Below are 13,851 nucleotides of genomic sequence, written 5' to 3'. Positions count from 1 at the left end.
AGCTGGGACTGGCCCTCAGAGCATTTAGCTCTTGGAAAATTCTGAATTTAGGGTTTATTTTTAATTTTTTATATTTAAAATATTTTTTTAAATCTAAAATTTTTGTTTGCATCATTCTAGCTCCAGGTATATCCTGCAAAACTGGAAATCACTGAGACCACTTAAGGAGATGCACATATGTAGCTAAAGAACCTCACATCATAATATGCCTGGAAAACAAACAAACAAATGGACAAACAAACAATACGCCACCTGATTACTGATCAGGGGTCTAGTATAGGGAATTCTAAATCCTTGCTGGTCTTTAAATTTTTGGTTAGCTGAAGACACTTGGTAACCTTCTTAGACTTACGTTATCTTTTCAAAAAAATTAATAAATTGGGGGTTTGCTTTATTGCAGAAACCTGGGATGCAAATGAAACAGATGCAATGCAGGGAGAGTGTAGATTTTGGCTGTTGCTGCATTTAAAAAGGACAGTGGTAGAAATCAGAGGGGGTTTCTGCCAGGGCCCTGTGGGCTTGTAGCAAATGCAGCACCAGCTAGGAAATGGTCCACCCAGTGTGTAGAATGGTGGCACATCCCCCTTTTCTAGGAGAAAGTTACTATTTTGAACGCATAAATATGATCTGGAGTCCCAGAAGACTAAAAGTTGGGCCTTTCTTTCCATTTCCTTTTCCATCATTATAATTTCAAAGCTCTATGCTTCCTGCAACTTGTGTGAGGAAGGTGCTAGAAATTTTGCAGGAGACCTGGGGAAAAGACAGGTTCCTAGTCACATTATAGAGAAAGTACTGATTTTGTTCTGAAGAGTGTTGCAGACCTGAAAACACGTGGAAACAGCCAAACAAACAAACAACAACAACAACAACAAAAATACCTCCTCTCTTCTTGAGAGTATAAACTGCATTCCACACAGTTCTATTATTTATAAAGGTTTGCAGAATATTTGGACATTCAGATATAGGTGAGTGGATGGAGGTATAAATGATACACCCTGGGGCTGGGGGAGATGGAGACTTGGCTGGTCTCCTGGTTTCCCAAGTCCTTGGTAAGTGGGTCAAGCTCAAGATAATCCAAGTACACATCTTTCTCCTTTCATGATGACAGAGTGTCCTTTTGTGCAATTTATATCAATGGGGCAGATTAGATGAGTGACTCAGGCATGCTGTGTGTTCCTGGTCATTTTCCTTGGCAGCCCTTTATGGTGACTTGTTGACATTTGGCCAATGAACAAGCAGACTCCGCTGTGTTGGATCAGAAAGAACAAGCCAAGGGGCAGGACAAAATGAAAAGGCAACCACGTCCTCCCTCCTTTCCTCTTAGGTGTCCACCTATGACAGAATCTCCCATTACTCCATTGGGCAGCAGAACATTTCAAAGGATGAAGTGAGTCTTTCTCTCTTGGCATCTTTCTCGTTTTCATCTCCTTTGATCCCTCCTTTGATCCCACTTTCTCGCTTCCCATTTTTGTTTCTTTCTCCCTGTTGTTTGACTTCCTTTGTGTCTCTCTGTGGAAATCTGCTTTTTAAATTTACCCCTTTCTCCCTCTTTAGATGCTGATTTGCAATTCTAACCCATGGTGTACAATAAGCCCTCTCTGAAGAAGATTCCTGAAGACGCTCATAGGGCAACATGTGTCTATCTGTGAAAGTCATTTCCGAATCATTTATTATATTTTTATGCTTAAGGCTAGTGGTCCAGATGGAATTTTTCCAGTCCTTCCTCCAAGTCTGCCCTCACTCCGAGATGCTGCCACTGTGCATGAGATATTCATCATTGGATTTGGGCAGTTTGGTTTATGAAATTATTACTGCCTGCTAGTCTACGAATTTCAAAATGACTACCTTAGAAACACCTAAACAAAATACATTCTTAGGATGCTAAATATCAACTTTAACTAGGAAGTGAGCCTGACTGTACCTGTCTGGGCCTTTCCCTTACTCTCTGGGTCATCTTAGCTATGCATTCTGGCTGTAGCTTGTTAGTTGACCTTATCAATGTAGTTTTCCTCCCAAATAAAGGGCTTTTCTCATTCAGAGAATTACCTCTCAGGTCGCAGCTGCCACTCTGCTCATTGGTTCTGGCTGACAACCTGCCATAGTAGGTCCCTGTTTTCTGTGAGCATAAGTCAATGGTTATTTTATGCCGTTCAGTTTTTTTTGCAGTAATAGTAACTGGAATGGACATCATCATAACATAAGCCATCTACTTAGATAAAGGCATCTTTTACCTTCCTTCTCCGATAGGCACCAATTCATGCTCTGTCTTCTAAATGGCAAAACCGTCAGCTTTCCCTATTTGTGGGGAAGATATTGCACAAAGATTCAAATTTCACCACACATTGAAATTTGGGAAGATAATGAAAATGGATTTCTATCTACCAAGTTTATTAAAAGTTGGCATTAAGCACCCCAGTGGTTCTGGGATAGGACTTTTTTGCCTAAATGAATTATGGTAGGGAATTATGCAGAAACACTATTTTGTCATTATCCTAATAGAACCTCTATGGGTAGGTCAAACAATCTTAGATAAACCCTCCTATCCTTGAATATTATTGCTGCATCTTGTCCAGTGTTAATCACTCTACATCTAGTCACTTTTTGGCACAGCATCTCTTTCTAGGCTTCTTATTATTTCTATTGCTCTTTAATTTCTCAGTCAGTCATTTTTAATATGACAGATCCACACTCCACCCAGTAATCCAGTAAGGGCCTTAAATTCTGAGTGTAAGGAGGAAGTTAGTTCTTTGATTTTGTATGCTATTTTTCTGTAATATGTTTGGATATCGTATTAGTTTTATTTTTGAGGTAAAATTTACCATTTTAACCATTGTAGCATATAAAATTCAGTAACATTAAGTCCATGTATAATGTGGAATAATCACCACTATGTAGTTCCAGAACTTTTTCATCATCCCAAACAGAAACCCCATATTTTTTAATCAATCATTTCCTGTTCCCCATCCCTCCATCTTCTGGCAATCCCTAATCTGTTTTCTGTCTCTATAGGTTTGTCTATTCTGGTTATTTCATATAAACAGAATCATACAATATGTGACCTTCTGGGCCTGTCTTCTTTCACTTAGCATAATGTTCTCAACATTCATCCATGCTGTGGCATGGATCAGTACACCTTCCTTTTCTTTTTGGCCAAATAATATTCTTACATCAAGTTTTTAATTGCAGCATATTCTACTGCTGACTCAGGACTCACAGACCCTGATTTATCTACAGATCCCCATCTTCCATGAGCATAAGTCAATGATTATTTTACGCCATTTAGTTCTTTTGAAGCAATAGTAACTAGATTGTCATTTTATGACATCATGACCTCCCCAAGGGGCTTTGGGGCTTGCTAACAGGGGAAGACATGGGAGGAGAGCTGAGTAACAGTCATGAAATGCCAAAAGTGACACACCTCATATTTCATGAACCATGACTAATCACATAGCCAAGCTGAATTTCAAGGGAGTGAAGACATGTAACCAGCACTTCACCAGAAATAGACAAGAACTGGAAATTGGTGAACATCAGTAACAACCACCTCCAAAAACTGATAACCACGTGCCTCCCAATATGGGCCGAACTGTGTCCCTCTGACTGTCAATTCATGTGCTGAAGACCTGACTCCCAATGTGATGGTATTTGGAGATGGGGTCTTTGGAAAGTCAAAGGTTTAGATTGAGGTCATGAAGGTGGGGGCTTCATGATGGAATTAGTGCCTTTAGAAGAGGAGACTTTAGAGAGATCTCACTCTCTCCTTTCCCCTACGTCAAGTAAATATCTGTTTACAAGCTAGGAAGACAGCCCTCACTAGAACTCAAACTCAGCAGTGCTGGCACCTCAATCTTGGACTTTCAGCCTCCAAAACTGAGAAAATAACTGTCTGTTGTTTACGCCATGCAGTCTAGGGTGTTTTGTTATGGCAGCCTGAGCCGACACCACCCACCCTGCAAATGTATTCAAATGTACACTTATTTCCTACGTACCCACCTTCCGCAGTAAGTTTGCTGGGATTGTACACAGCTAAGGAAACAGCCGTCCATATGTTTTTGTGCTTTCTCTCCCATCATGCTATTTTCTCTGAGGGGTGTACATGCTACACATGTTTTACAGGTACAACCCAAATACATTCTTCACATTTCTCTGACTTCCAGGGTGCATTTCTGTGCTTGAGGAACTTTAGAGAGTCCCAGCATTTTGCTAAGTGGCATTATTTAAACAGATTGATTGATTATGATATGAACAAAGCAAATGCCCGCACACCATGATATTCTGTGGGAAGCAGAGTTGTACTACTCAGCTCCTTCTAGAGGCAAGCCGATTTCTAGACCACATTCCATTCCCGTCTGGTTTCATCTGCCACATCTCTGCGGGCAAAAGAAAAATGCCTTACACGATCAGAAAAACCATGTTAATTTTGGAGCTCTCAGTATAGTTGCCATCAATCCTGATTGGCCTCCCAAGTCACAGTTAATGGATGGTAGTGTAAAGAAAAAAAAATCGCATTAAAAATGACCCCGCCAATGATAAATTGTACCCAAATTGTAATTTTGGGTACCCGTGATTCACCAACGATATCTTATTTTTGGAACAGTAGCATAAGTTCCTCAATGGTAAACTGCTGCTGATAAAGCAATTTTCCATGCTTTGTTTTGTTTTTGGTAACAGGCAAGGTCCATGTAATTCTAGTGGGTGCTAATGGACCATGTCCCTTTGAAGGATTGAGAAGATTGTTGCAGATTTTCTTTAGACAACTGAAATTCTGCATCCAGTGAAGCTTCCATTTTTAAAGAATGAACTCTCTGCTTCCAACAAAATTTTATTATAGAGGAAAATGTTGATGGTCAGGTGAATCCTAGGGAGGTTTGTCCTGGTCCCCACCCACGCCAGAGTTCCCTCTATGCTCTGCCTAGAAGTGCACTGCTACCAAAATCAACGATTAATGGTTGAAAAAGTCTGAAAAATGGATATCCCTTTGGCCTTTCTAAGGTTTGTCATTAGTTGACATACCCATTACCTCAAAAATCAAATGTGTTTGTCTAAACATTATTCTGATGTTTACTTTGGGCACTAAAGGGCAGACAGCTGACCACGGACGCGCTGACAGTGATCAATTCAGCCTCGGATCTTGTCACTTTCCCTGTTTATTCTGCTATCAATCTCCCCTTGGCCTGCCATCGTGGCTGCTTTCTGCTGCTCAGGCGCTTTTAAAACTAACAATAATCCAATTTAGAATTGATCCATGAGAATGTGTGGTCAGTAAGCAAAATGACAAAGTCTGCGTGCGACTGCTGACCACAGTCAGGGGGTCTGTCTTACAGGAGGCTGAAGGCAAATTTTAATTAATTAATTAAATGCTAACAGCACTTAGGCCTCTTCCGTGGGGGTTCTTTAAGTCAGACCCTCTATGTTTCTGTGTCTTAGAAAAGGAGAAAACTAGGCCCACTCAGCATCTGCTAGACCAGGTACCTTCTACAAGAGTGCTGTGCAGGGAAACATTCCATTATGGCGGAAATGGTCTGTATCTGTGCTGTCCAATGCGGAGCCCCGAGCCACCTGTGGCTCAACTTGAAATATGGCTTGTGCAACTGAGAAATTGAATTTTTAATTTTATTTAAATTTAATTTATTTAAATTTAAAGTTAAATAGCTACATATGGCTATTGGTTCCAGCACTGGTGGTCATTGCTCTTCTAGAATGTTGAGGTGTTTGTGGTGAGGTAAAGCCTGGTAATGTTGTTTAGGATGTCATAGTGATCAGGAGGCCACAGCCTCCCCCCGATCCAGCACAGCTAGAAACCAGGCAAGAGAACTGAAAGAAGCTATTCAAAGGCTCCCCTGCATCCTAAAGGCAATAGCATGTTTGACCAGGGCAGCCTTCCTGCTCTGTGGGAATGGGGCTCCTTCAGTGGCCAAGACGGCCTTCAATTCAGTTTCTCAGTTGCACAAGCCATGTTCCAAGTTGAGCCACAGGTGGCTCGGGGCTCCTCATTGGACAGCACAGATATAGATCATTCCCACCATGATGGAAAGTTTCGCTGCACAGCACTCTTTTAGAAGATACAATCGGGGTGGCTCTTGCCCAGCAGAAGGGAGAGGGTGCAGGACTGGACATCACCAGGGAACAAAAGTGTGTTCCTTTTCTTAAAATCCCCCAAGCAAACCTCATTCTCAGCTGTATTCCATGTCTGGTTTCCAGGACAGAATGCTCCATTGGGTTCTCAACACCAACTGGCTCCCTGATTCAGGATCCAGGACTCAGGATATGCCTTGGCACCTCCTTCTTGAATTTCTCTTTTGGTTTTTGGTTCCCAAATTGGCGAGATCCCTAGATCCTGCATTCCTTGCCCCTTCCCTCAACTTTAAACTCCATTTTTGCCAAATCCAACAGTGGGGAGTCATTTGATGAATTTCTTCAAATGATTTGCAAATGTTACCTTCAAAGAACAAACAGTTTAAAAGCTAATTGCTAATAAGATTATACTCATAGATGATATTAATATTGGGGAGTGTTTTAAAAATCGTGAAATCAACTTAGCATTTATCTCGAGATACACATCTGCCAAAAAGCATGATTAGATTTTTTACAAAACCACATCATTTCTTATTTGAAACTTAAAGTTTATGGGGGCTATTATGAGCAAGTAGAAACACTTTATGATGGCTGTGATATAATCAATGCAGATTTAAAATGCTGTAGCAGATAACAATTTTCTTAGAAGGAAAGAGGTCTGGATTTTCTCTTGAGAGAAATCTCAAATCTATAATTCTTGCATTATTAGATACCAGCAACAAAAAAGTAAATACAAAACCCAGTTATTATTTACAAAAAAGAAATAAAAAATTATTTCTTGAACATCTTATGGAAGGAAAAACTTTAATTTTGGTCATTTAAAAAATTTAGTTTTAGATAAAGCTTTATGTAACATACTGTAAGCATTTGACAATGACAACAAAAGGATAAGAAAGCCTTTGAATTAAAAAATGAGAATTTAAAAAGCATATGTAACATTTATATAATCATTCATGGTTTCACTATCTAGAGACAGACATAACACAGTATTTTCTTATATGTGCTTCTAATATTTATTTTACAAAAAATCTAAGTAGAAATATTATGAATACAATATTTTTTCTTGCTTTTTAACATTGACATATATTTTCCATATTTGCACATTCTTTCTAAATATAATTTTTAAAAAGTTAAATAATAACCAATGGAGTGAACATATGGGATTTGTGTAGCTATTACTTTTTTGTCTGGGATTTAGATTACTTCTGAATTTTTTTGCTATTAAAAATAATGCCTCTCAATAGTCAGGATTATTTTGGGCTCCATTCTCAAAAGTGTAAGTACTGCATTGGAGAAAATAAACATCGTAAGGCTCTTTGCCAAATTGCTTTCCAAAAGGATTATATCAAAATATTAGCAATATTGTAGAGTACCCTTTCACAGTGCCCTCAGCAGTGGCGGTGATCATGATCTTTCTAAAAAAATATCTGGTTAATTTGATAGAGGTCAAATGTTACTTCATTTTTATTTTAATGTGTCATTCTTTGATTGCTGGTGAAGGAAAGTGTTTTCCACACATTTGCTGATTGTTTAGAGTTTCCTTTTTGGAAATTGCCTATTCACATCCTTTGCCAGTTTATCTATTGAGGCTTCAGTATTTTAAAACTCAATCTGATTAAGCTTTTTAAGAATATTAGTACTTTGTCTATGTAATATCTCCTCTATTTCCCCCCAAATAAAATGCCTTTTAATTTGCTTCTATTTATTTTTGGAAGAACAGAAGCTTACATTTATAACACAGTTAAATATGTTAATGTTTTTATTCTAAGTTTAATAAATTGTACCTCCTCCAGTGATGGTAAACATATCTATTTTTTCTTGATTTCTTATATGTTGATGTTTCACATTTAATTTTTAAATTCCCTTGGAACTAATTTTGTTGATTGATTCTAATCTAAATATATGTATGTGTGCATATATGTGTGTGTGTATGTGTGTGTATATATACACACATATATACATATGTGTACACACACATATATATACATATATGTACACACATACATATATGTATACACACATATATACATATATATGTATGTGTATATATATGTATGTGTATATATACATACATATGCGTATGTATGTGTATATATACATACATATGCGTATGTATGTGTATATATACATACATATGCGTATGTGTGTGTATATATACATACATATGCGTGTGTGTGTGTATATATACATACATATGCGTATGTGTGTGTATATATATACACACACACGCATATACACACACACACACACACACACACACACACACACACACACTAATCAGTTGCCCACTCCAAGGCTGTTTATGAAATGGTTTACCCCTTTTTCATTCGTTTGAAATATTTCTTAAAAATAAAATAAAAACCATCCATTATATTTATTTTTTATTTATAAGATACCTTATTTCTTGATTATTTTGTTCTGTTGATTCCAGAATTAGAGCATCTTACTTACTATCAATTTGCACCGTTGGTTACCGGCTGACAAGTCCACAATTCTCCCAACATCATTCTTTTTTAAAAAGCTGTTTTGTTTTATTTTGGATGTGTGTGCCTCATGGGAGGGGTGAGTATTGACTATCGATTTTTTTACTTAATGTTTTGAGTTTTAATCTTTCTGAATTCTTCCAGTCTCTCAAAACCAGATGATGTCCTGTAGCCCTCAGAGCTTTCCCTGACCCTTCTTGGTGGGAAAGACTCATCCTCTCTCTCACTTCCACGTGGTTCCATCTGTACTTCTCTTAGAACATCTTTACTTCCAGCCTTGTATTATAGTTATTTTTGGCACACCTTATTTTTATCTGATGATGTGTCTGTAATTGGCTGAATAATGGCCGTCAAAGATGTCTACACCTAATCTCGAGAACCCATGTATATTACCTTGCATGGCAATAGGGACTTGGGATTTTGCAGATGTGATTAAGCTAAGGATCTTGAGAAGGAGAAATTATCCTGGATTATCGGGGCGGGCCCTGAATGCAATCCTAAAGGTCCTTGCAAGGGGGAGGCAAAGGAAGACTTGACTCCAAGAGAGGAGAAGGCCGTGTGACCATGGAGGCAGAGATTGGAGCCATGTGGCCAGGAGCTCAGGACTGCCTGCTGCCCTCAGTTGCTGGCAGAAGCAAGGAACGAATTCTCCCCTGGATCTTTCAGAAAGAGGCAGCTCTGCTGACATCTCAATGTGAGCTACCTGAGACTTACATTGGGCTTCTGATCTCTAGGACTGTAAGGGAATTAATCTCTGGGATGTTTATGTTCTGGGTTTTTTTTTTTTTTTTTTTTTTGCCACTAAATTTGTGGTCATTTGTTACAGCTGCAATTGGAAGGGAATACTGCTATTTTCCATATCCCAATGGCAATAGCATGGTTAGCCAGAGTACCCTTCAAGCACGGTATACAGTATTCTCTCTTTTGGGGCAGTCTGGGTTTTGCGTCTTCAAGACTTGGCTGCTGAGTTAGTATCAACAGTGCCTTCTGATTTTGTTTTGCTCTTCAGAGTTTGATCCAGCTCAGGATCTAGGAGCAGGACTGACTTCTCACATAATCTTTTATGTGACCCTCTGGGTGCACATCTTCACGTTCCAGTCTCATTCATAAGTGAAATGAAATTTAGCTCATCATTTATCTGTCTCTGTGAGAGGAATTCAAAATCGCTACAGCCAATTCTACTTTATAGAAGTTACTTCCAGGATGATGGCTGAAAGCCATACATTGAAAAGGAATGAGTTCATGAGAGAGGCTTGAATGAGTAAATTGATAAAAGTTTTTACTAAACATCCTATCTGCAGCTTTCCTATTCGATCACATGAAAGTGAACATACCTTCTTAGAAGTTAACAATACTATTGCTCTATATGGCATACATTTGTTTGAAAAAATGCGTTCCTTAAACGCAATTTACTTTTCCAATATCTTTGTGGGTAGGAGGAGAATATATTCACTTTTCTGAATAGAAAACAGAAGACTAGTAATGTGGAGCCATTTATTCAACATCTTACCCCTTTATTTATTTATCAGGATATTGACGGTCTGCAAAAGGCTGGGCTAAGTTTGTAGTGATTTAAAGATCAGTCTCAGCCTTGAAAGGTGTTGCAGAAAGCAGGATATGCAAACTAGGGAACAAACAAAATACACTTGGAGAGGGGCTCACTTAGGGAGAGGCATATAAGGATTCCGGAAAGGCTGGAGTCAGCAGCATGGAATGCTATGGTTTTCAACCTTATTGCACTTTAGAATAATCCCTAGGAGCTTTCAAAATATACTCTAATATGGGTGCCACCCTAGACTATGGGAATCACTATGGCTGTGTGCAGAAGCTGGAATCTGCTGGGATCAGATAAGATCAGATAAGCAAGAGGAAGAAGCTTGCAACACATAAGTGGAACTATATACCTGCATTCGTGCAGCTTCAGGGAGCAGCCATTGTGGGTGCTGGCCTAACGTAGGATGCATGGACTTTGTAGTCCACCGTCTTTTTTGCAGTAGAGCTTATTGGATGGAATCCTGGAGTAAGTAGAGGCATGGCGGAAGCTACCATTTCTGTTTTTTCCAAGCGACTTCGTATGTAGGGCTTTCCTAGCTGGGGGAGACACATGATTGGGTGATACCAGCACGAATCCTTTAGCTTTCCAATCCATGTGGAGACTTGTTTCTTCTAACTGTTTTAAAATAGAATAGGGGAAATTGAAAATGTGATTACTTTGAGAGATGCTCTATTTAATTGCATTTTTGTCTGCCATTTTCTTTGCTCAGTTTCAATAGTTAGTCTGATATGGATAAAAGTTCTTGCACAGGGAAAAATTTATTAATGTAAGCAAATTCTGTATTTCTATGAATAAATATTTTATTTTATCTTAGGAAAACATGAGTAAATCTCATGCTGTCTTTGGTTCCAGCCAACTCGGTCATTCCCAGTTTTTCAGTCATTTTTGAATCCACACATGTACACAAATCTCTATATACATACTTCTAGCCCACTCAATGGACATCACTTTGTTGTTAAGATAATAACCTCTCAGCAAGACGGCCTCCCCTGATGGCCTGGTCAATACATTTATAGAATGTAATTAAACCATATCACATCTGTGACAGAAAATTGATGACCTTTTAATTATTTCAAGATAACGGAATATGTAATCATTTTCTTCTTTAACTGGAAAGAACAGTATATTTTGAATAAATTGAAAGCAGAATCTACGTATTTCTTTATTTTCTTTGTAAGCTGTACTTCTGTGTTCTCTTTCTGCAAGACATCCTTTTTGGAATGCTTGTCACATGATTTAGGAAAACAATTTAGAAAAATTGGCATTAATATTAATACAAGACATAATATTTAGCATAAGGTATTTAAGAGGCACTTGCTGATTATTGGGATTAGGAAATATCTATCAACACTACCACAGAATTTTATATTGTAGGCAAGCTCACAATAATCTTTAAGACTGCCTGGTGGGAAATACCTGGTTAAGTAGCTTTTTAAAAGAGTTAAAGTAGAGTGAGGCTGCTTATAAAATCAGAGTTAAAGAACAGAACTAACTCCCAAGAGGAAGGTTGTGTTGTAACACCCATTTATTGTATGTCACTTTGGGTGACACAGTGTGATCATTACAGGGTCCTTATTATCCAAAGCAAATACCAAAACTCAATGTGTGATAGGTCTGAGTATTCTTGTGGGGAAAATGGAACATAATATTTCAAATCACAACTATATCTCACAATTAAGATGGCATGACTTACATATCTCTAGTATAGCAGATTTTCCCCATATATAAATACATAATAAACAAAATACATATAAAATATGTATTTATTTCTATGTATTCCCATAAATAAAATACATGTAAAATATATATTTTATAATTCCCTTGAATAAGAAAATTCTCAACTTCTACAGATGGATATGGTAAATAAAGAAAACCTATCCAAATAGGAGCATTATTTTTGCAACCTGGTAAAACCAGACTGTTTCTTCTCCACATATAGGCCAGAAATGTGGAAAACACTTTTCTCTCACCATCTTCCATTAAGAGAAAAGAGAGCTTGTGCTACTACTTGAAAAATTAACTGCTTAATCTTCCACTGAAATTCCGGTCAGCAAAATTAATGGGGAGTGGGACAATTTCTATAGAAAAACTCTGTGGTGAGTGGTTTTGATTTATAGCTGGACATATTAAATGTATAAGTTATGCTAGAAGCCACTCTTTACTAGACATATTTCCTAAGTAAATTAGTATAGTGACTTGCACATGCTATATTTAAAATTTTCCTTTCTTTAAAAAATGTTGCAAGCCTGTTCTTTAGCATTACTTGAATCAGATTCTTGGGTTAGAAAACGGTTTGGAATTTCATGGACATTTTCTTTAATTTTAAAAGGACTTTAGGAGTAGTCAAGTTTTGAGACGATGTGACACAATTCCTTGTTCTTTATTATTAGGACTGTGTGTGTTGACTTGGAATATAAGCAACTTGTGCCAGAGAAAATACAGGCAGGTTGCTATTATGCTCCTGACAAAGTGAGGTGGGTGAAGGCAGGGTTATAAATGGAAAGCAGGCCCCCTCCCCTTTAGAACCCAGAACCAGAGCATAAGGTATTTAAGGGCAGGAATAGATTGGATTAAAAAAATTATTACTAATGAGACAATGATCAACACTTGTTATATAGGAGATCCTCACTTAAATACGTGTTTACTTTGCTTTTTCAGTAAATCTTTCTTGAATGCTTGACACTATTGGGAGCTGGGGATTCAAAGTTGATTAAAAAAGGTTTTCTGTTTTTAAGAAGCTGACAGTTGAGTGTGGGAGACTGATTTATTATCTAATGAAGTGTGTATAAGAATAGAGATTTATACATTGATAAACAGGGAGGAATGATAATCCTTCTTAAGAGGAGTAGCAAGTGTTCACATAGAAGGTGATATTTGAGTTGGATCTTGATTGCTTGCGTAGATATAGGGTTTCATCCACACTTTTTTGGCTTGCTTCCCCAGAGGTAGTTTGCTTCGTAAACTGAGTGACTTTGACATTAATGAATATTTCCTGCATTACTGTAGTCACCCATGAAGTCTTTATTTTTTATAGACAGAATCTTGCTCTGTCACCCAGGCTGGAATGCAGTGGTGTGATCATAGCTCACTGCAGCCTCGAACTCCTGGCCTCAGGCAATTCTCCTGATTCAGCCTCCCAAGTAGCTGGGACTACAGGCATGTGCCACCATGCCCAGCTAATTTTTATTTTTATTTTTTTGTAGAGATGGGGTCTTGCTATGTTGCGCAGGCTGGTCTCAAAGTCTTGGTCACACACGTCTTAATGGATGGCAGTCACCATTTTTTTTTTCAAGAAAATAGCTGTGCTCAATAGCTTAAATTTACTGTCATTAAAATGCTAGTAGCAGAAACAAGCATAGCGATATTTTTCGAATTTTCCATTGTTTGTAGCTTTTAAGTAGTCAGTGCAGGATAACACATCACCAGCTAAATGATAAGGAACACTGGCTAAAATGGATTAAAACATCATTTTATTCTGGGCTGTAAATTTCTCGATTGAAAAAATTATTTTCAGTGACCTAATTTCCTATGTATATATATCAAATGACATCTGAATCAAGTTAAAGCCTTAACCTTTTTCCATTTCCTGTTGTAAAACTGCCTGAATCTGACATCTCTTTAAGTGGAGTTGAAGTTGTTTTCACTTGTGATGTCAGAATTCGGATAATGCCCAAATTGATGCTTAGTGATATTTATCTTAAAGACCTCATTTCCTAAGATGTCCTCTTTTCTTTTAAG

At 37.9% G+C, this 13,851-nt stretch overlaps 1 annotated feature.

Moving 5' to 3' along the window:
• Positions 3,651-4,850: an enhancer, noted in NCBI's record as "CDK7 strongly-dependent group 2 enhancer chr21:37006276-37007475 (GRCh37/hg19 assembly coordinates)". NCBI's record gives its function as "activates an origin of replication core promoter dependent on BRD2, BRD4, P300/CBP, MED14 and CDK7 cofactors, with strong dependence on CDK7, by STARR-seq in HCT116 cells {active_cell/tissue: HCT116}" and the evidence as "EXISTENCE:reporter gene assay evidence [ECO:0000049][PMID:35650434]".

This window comes from Homo sapiens, chromosome 21, assembly GCF_000001405.40.
Source record: "Homo sapiens chromosome 21, GRCh38.p14 Primary Assembly".
Lineage (NCBI taxonomy): Eukaryota > Metazoa > Chordata > Mammalia > Primates > Hominidae > Homo > Homo sapiens.
This window is presented reverse-complemented; position numbering and strand designations above follow the sequence as displayed.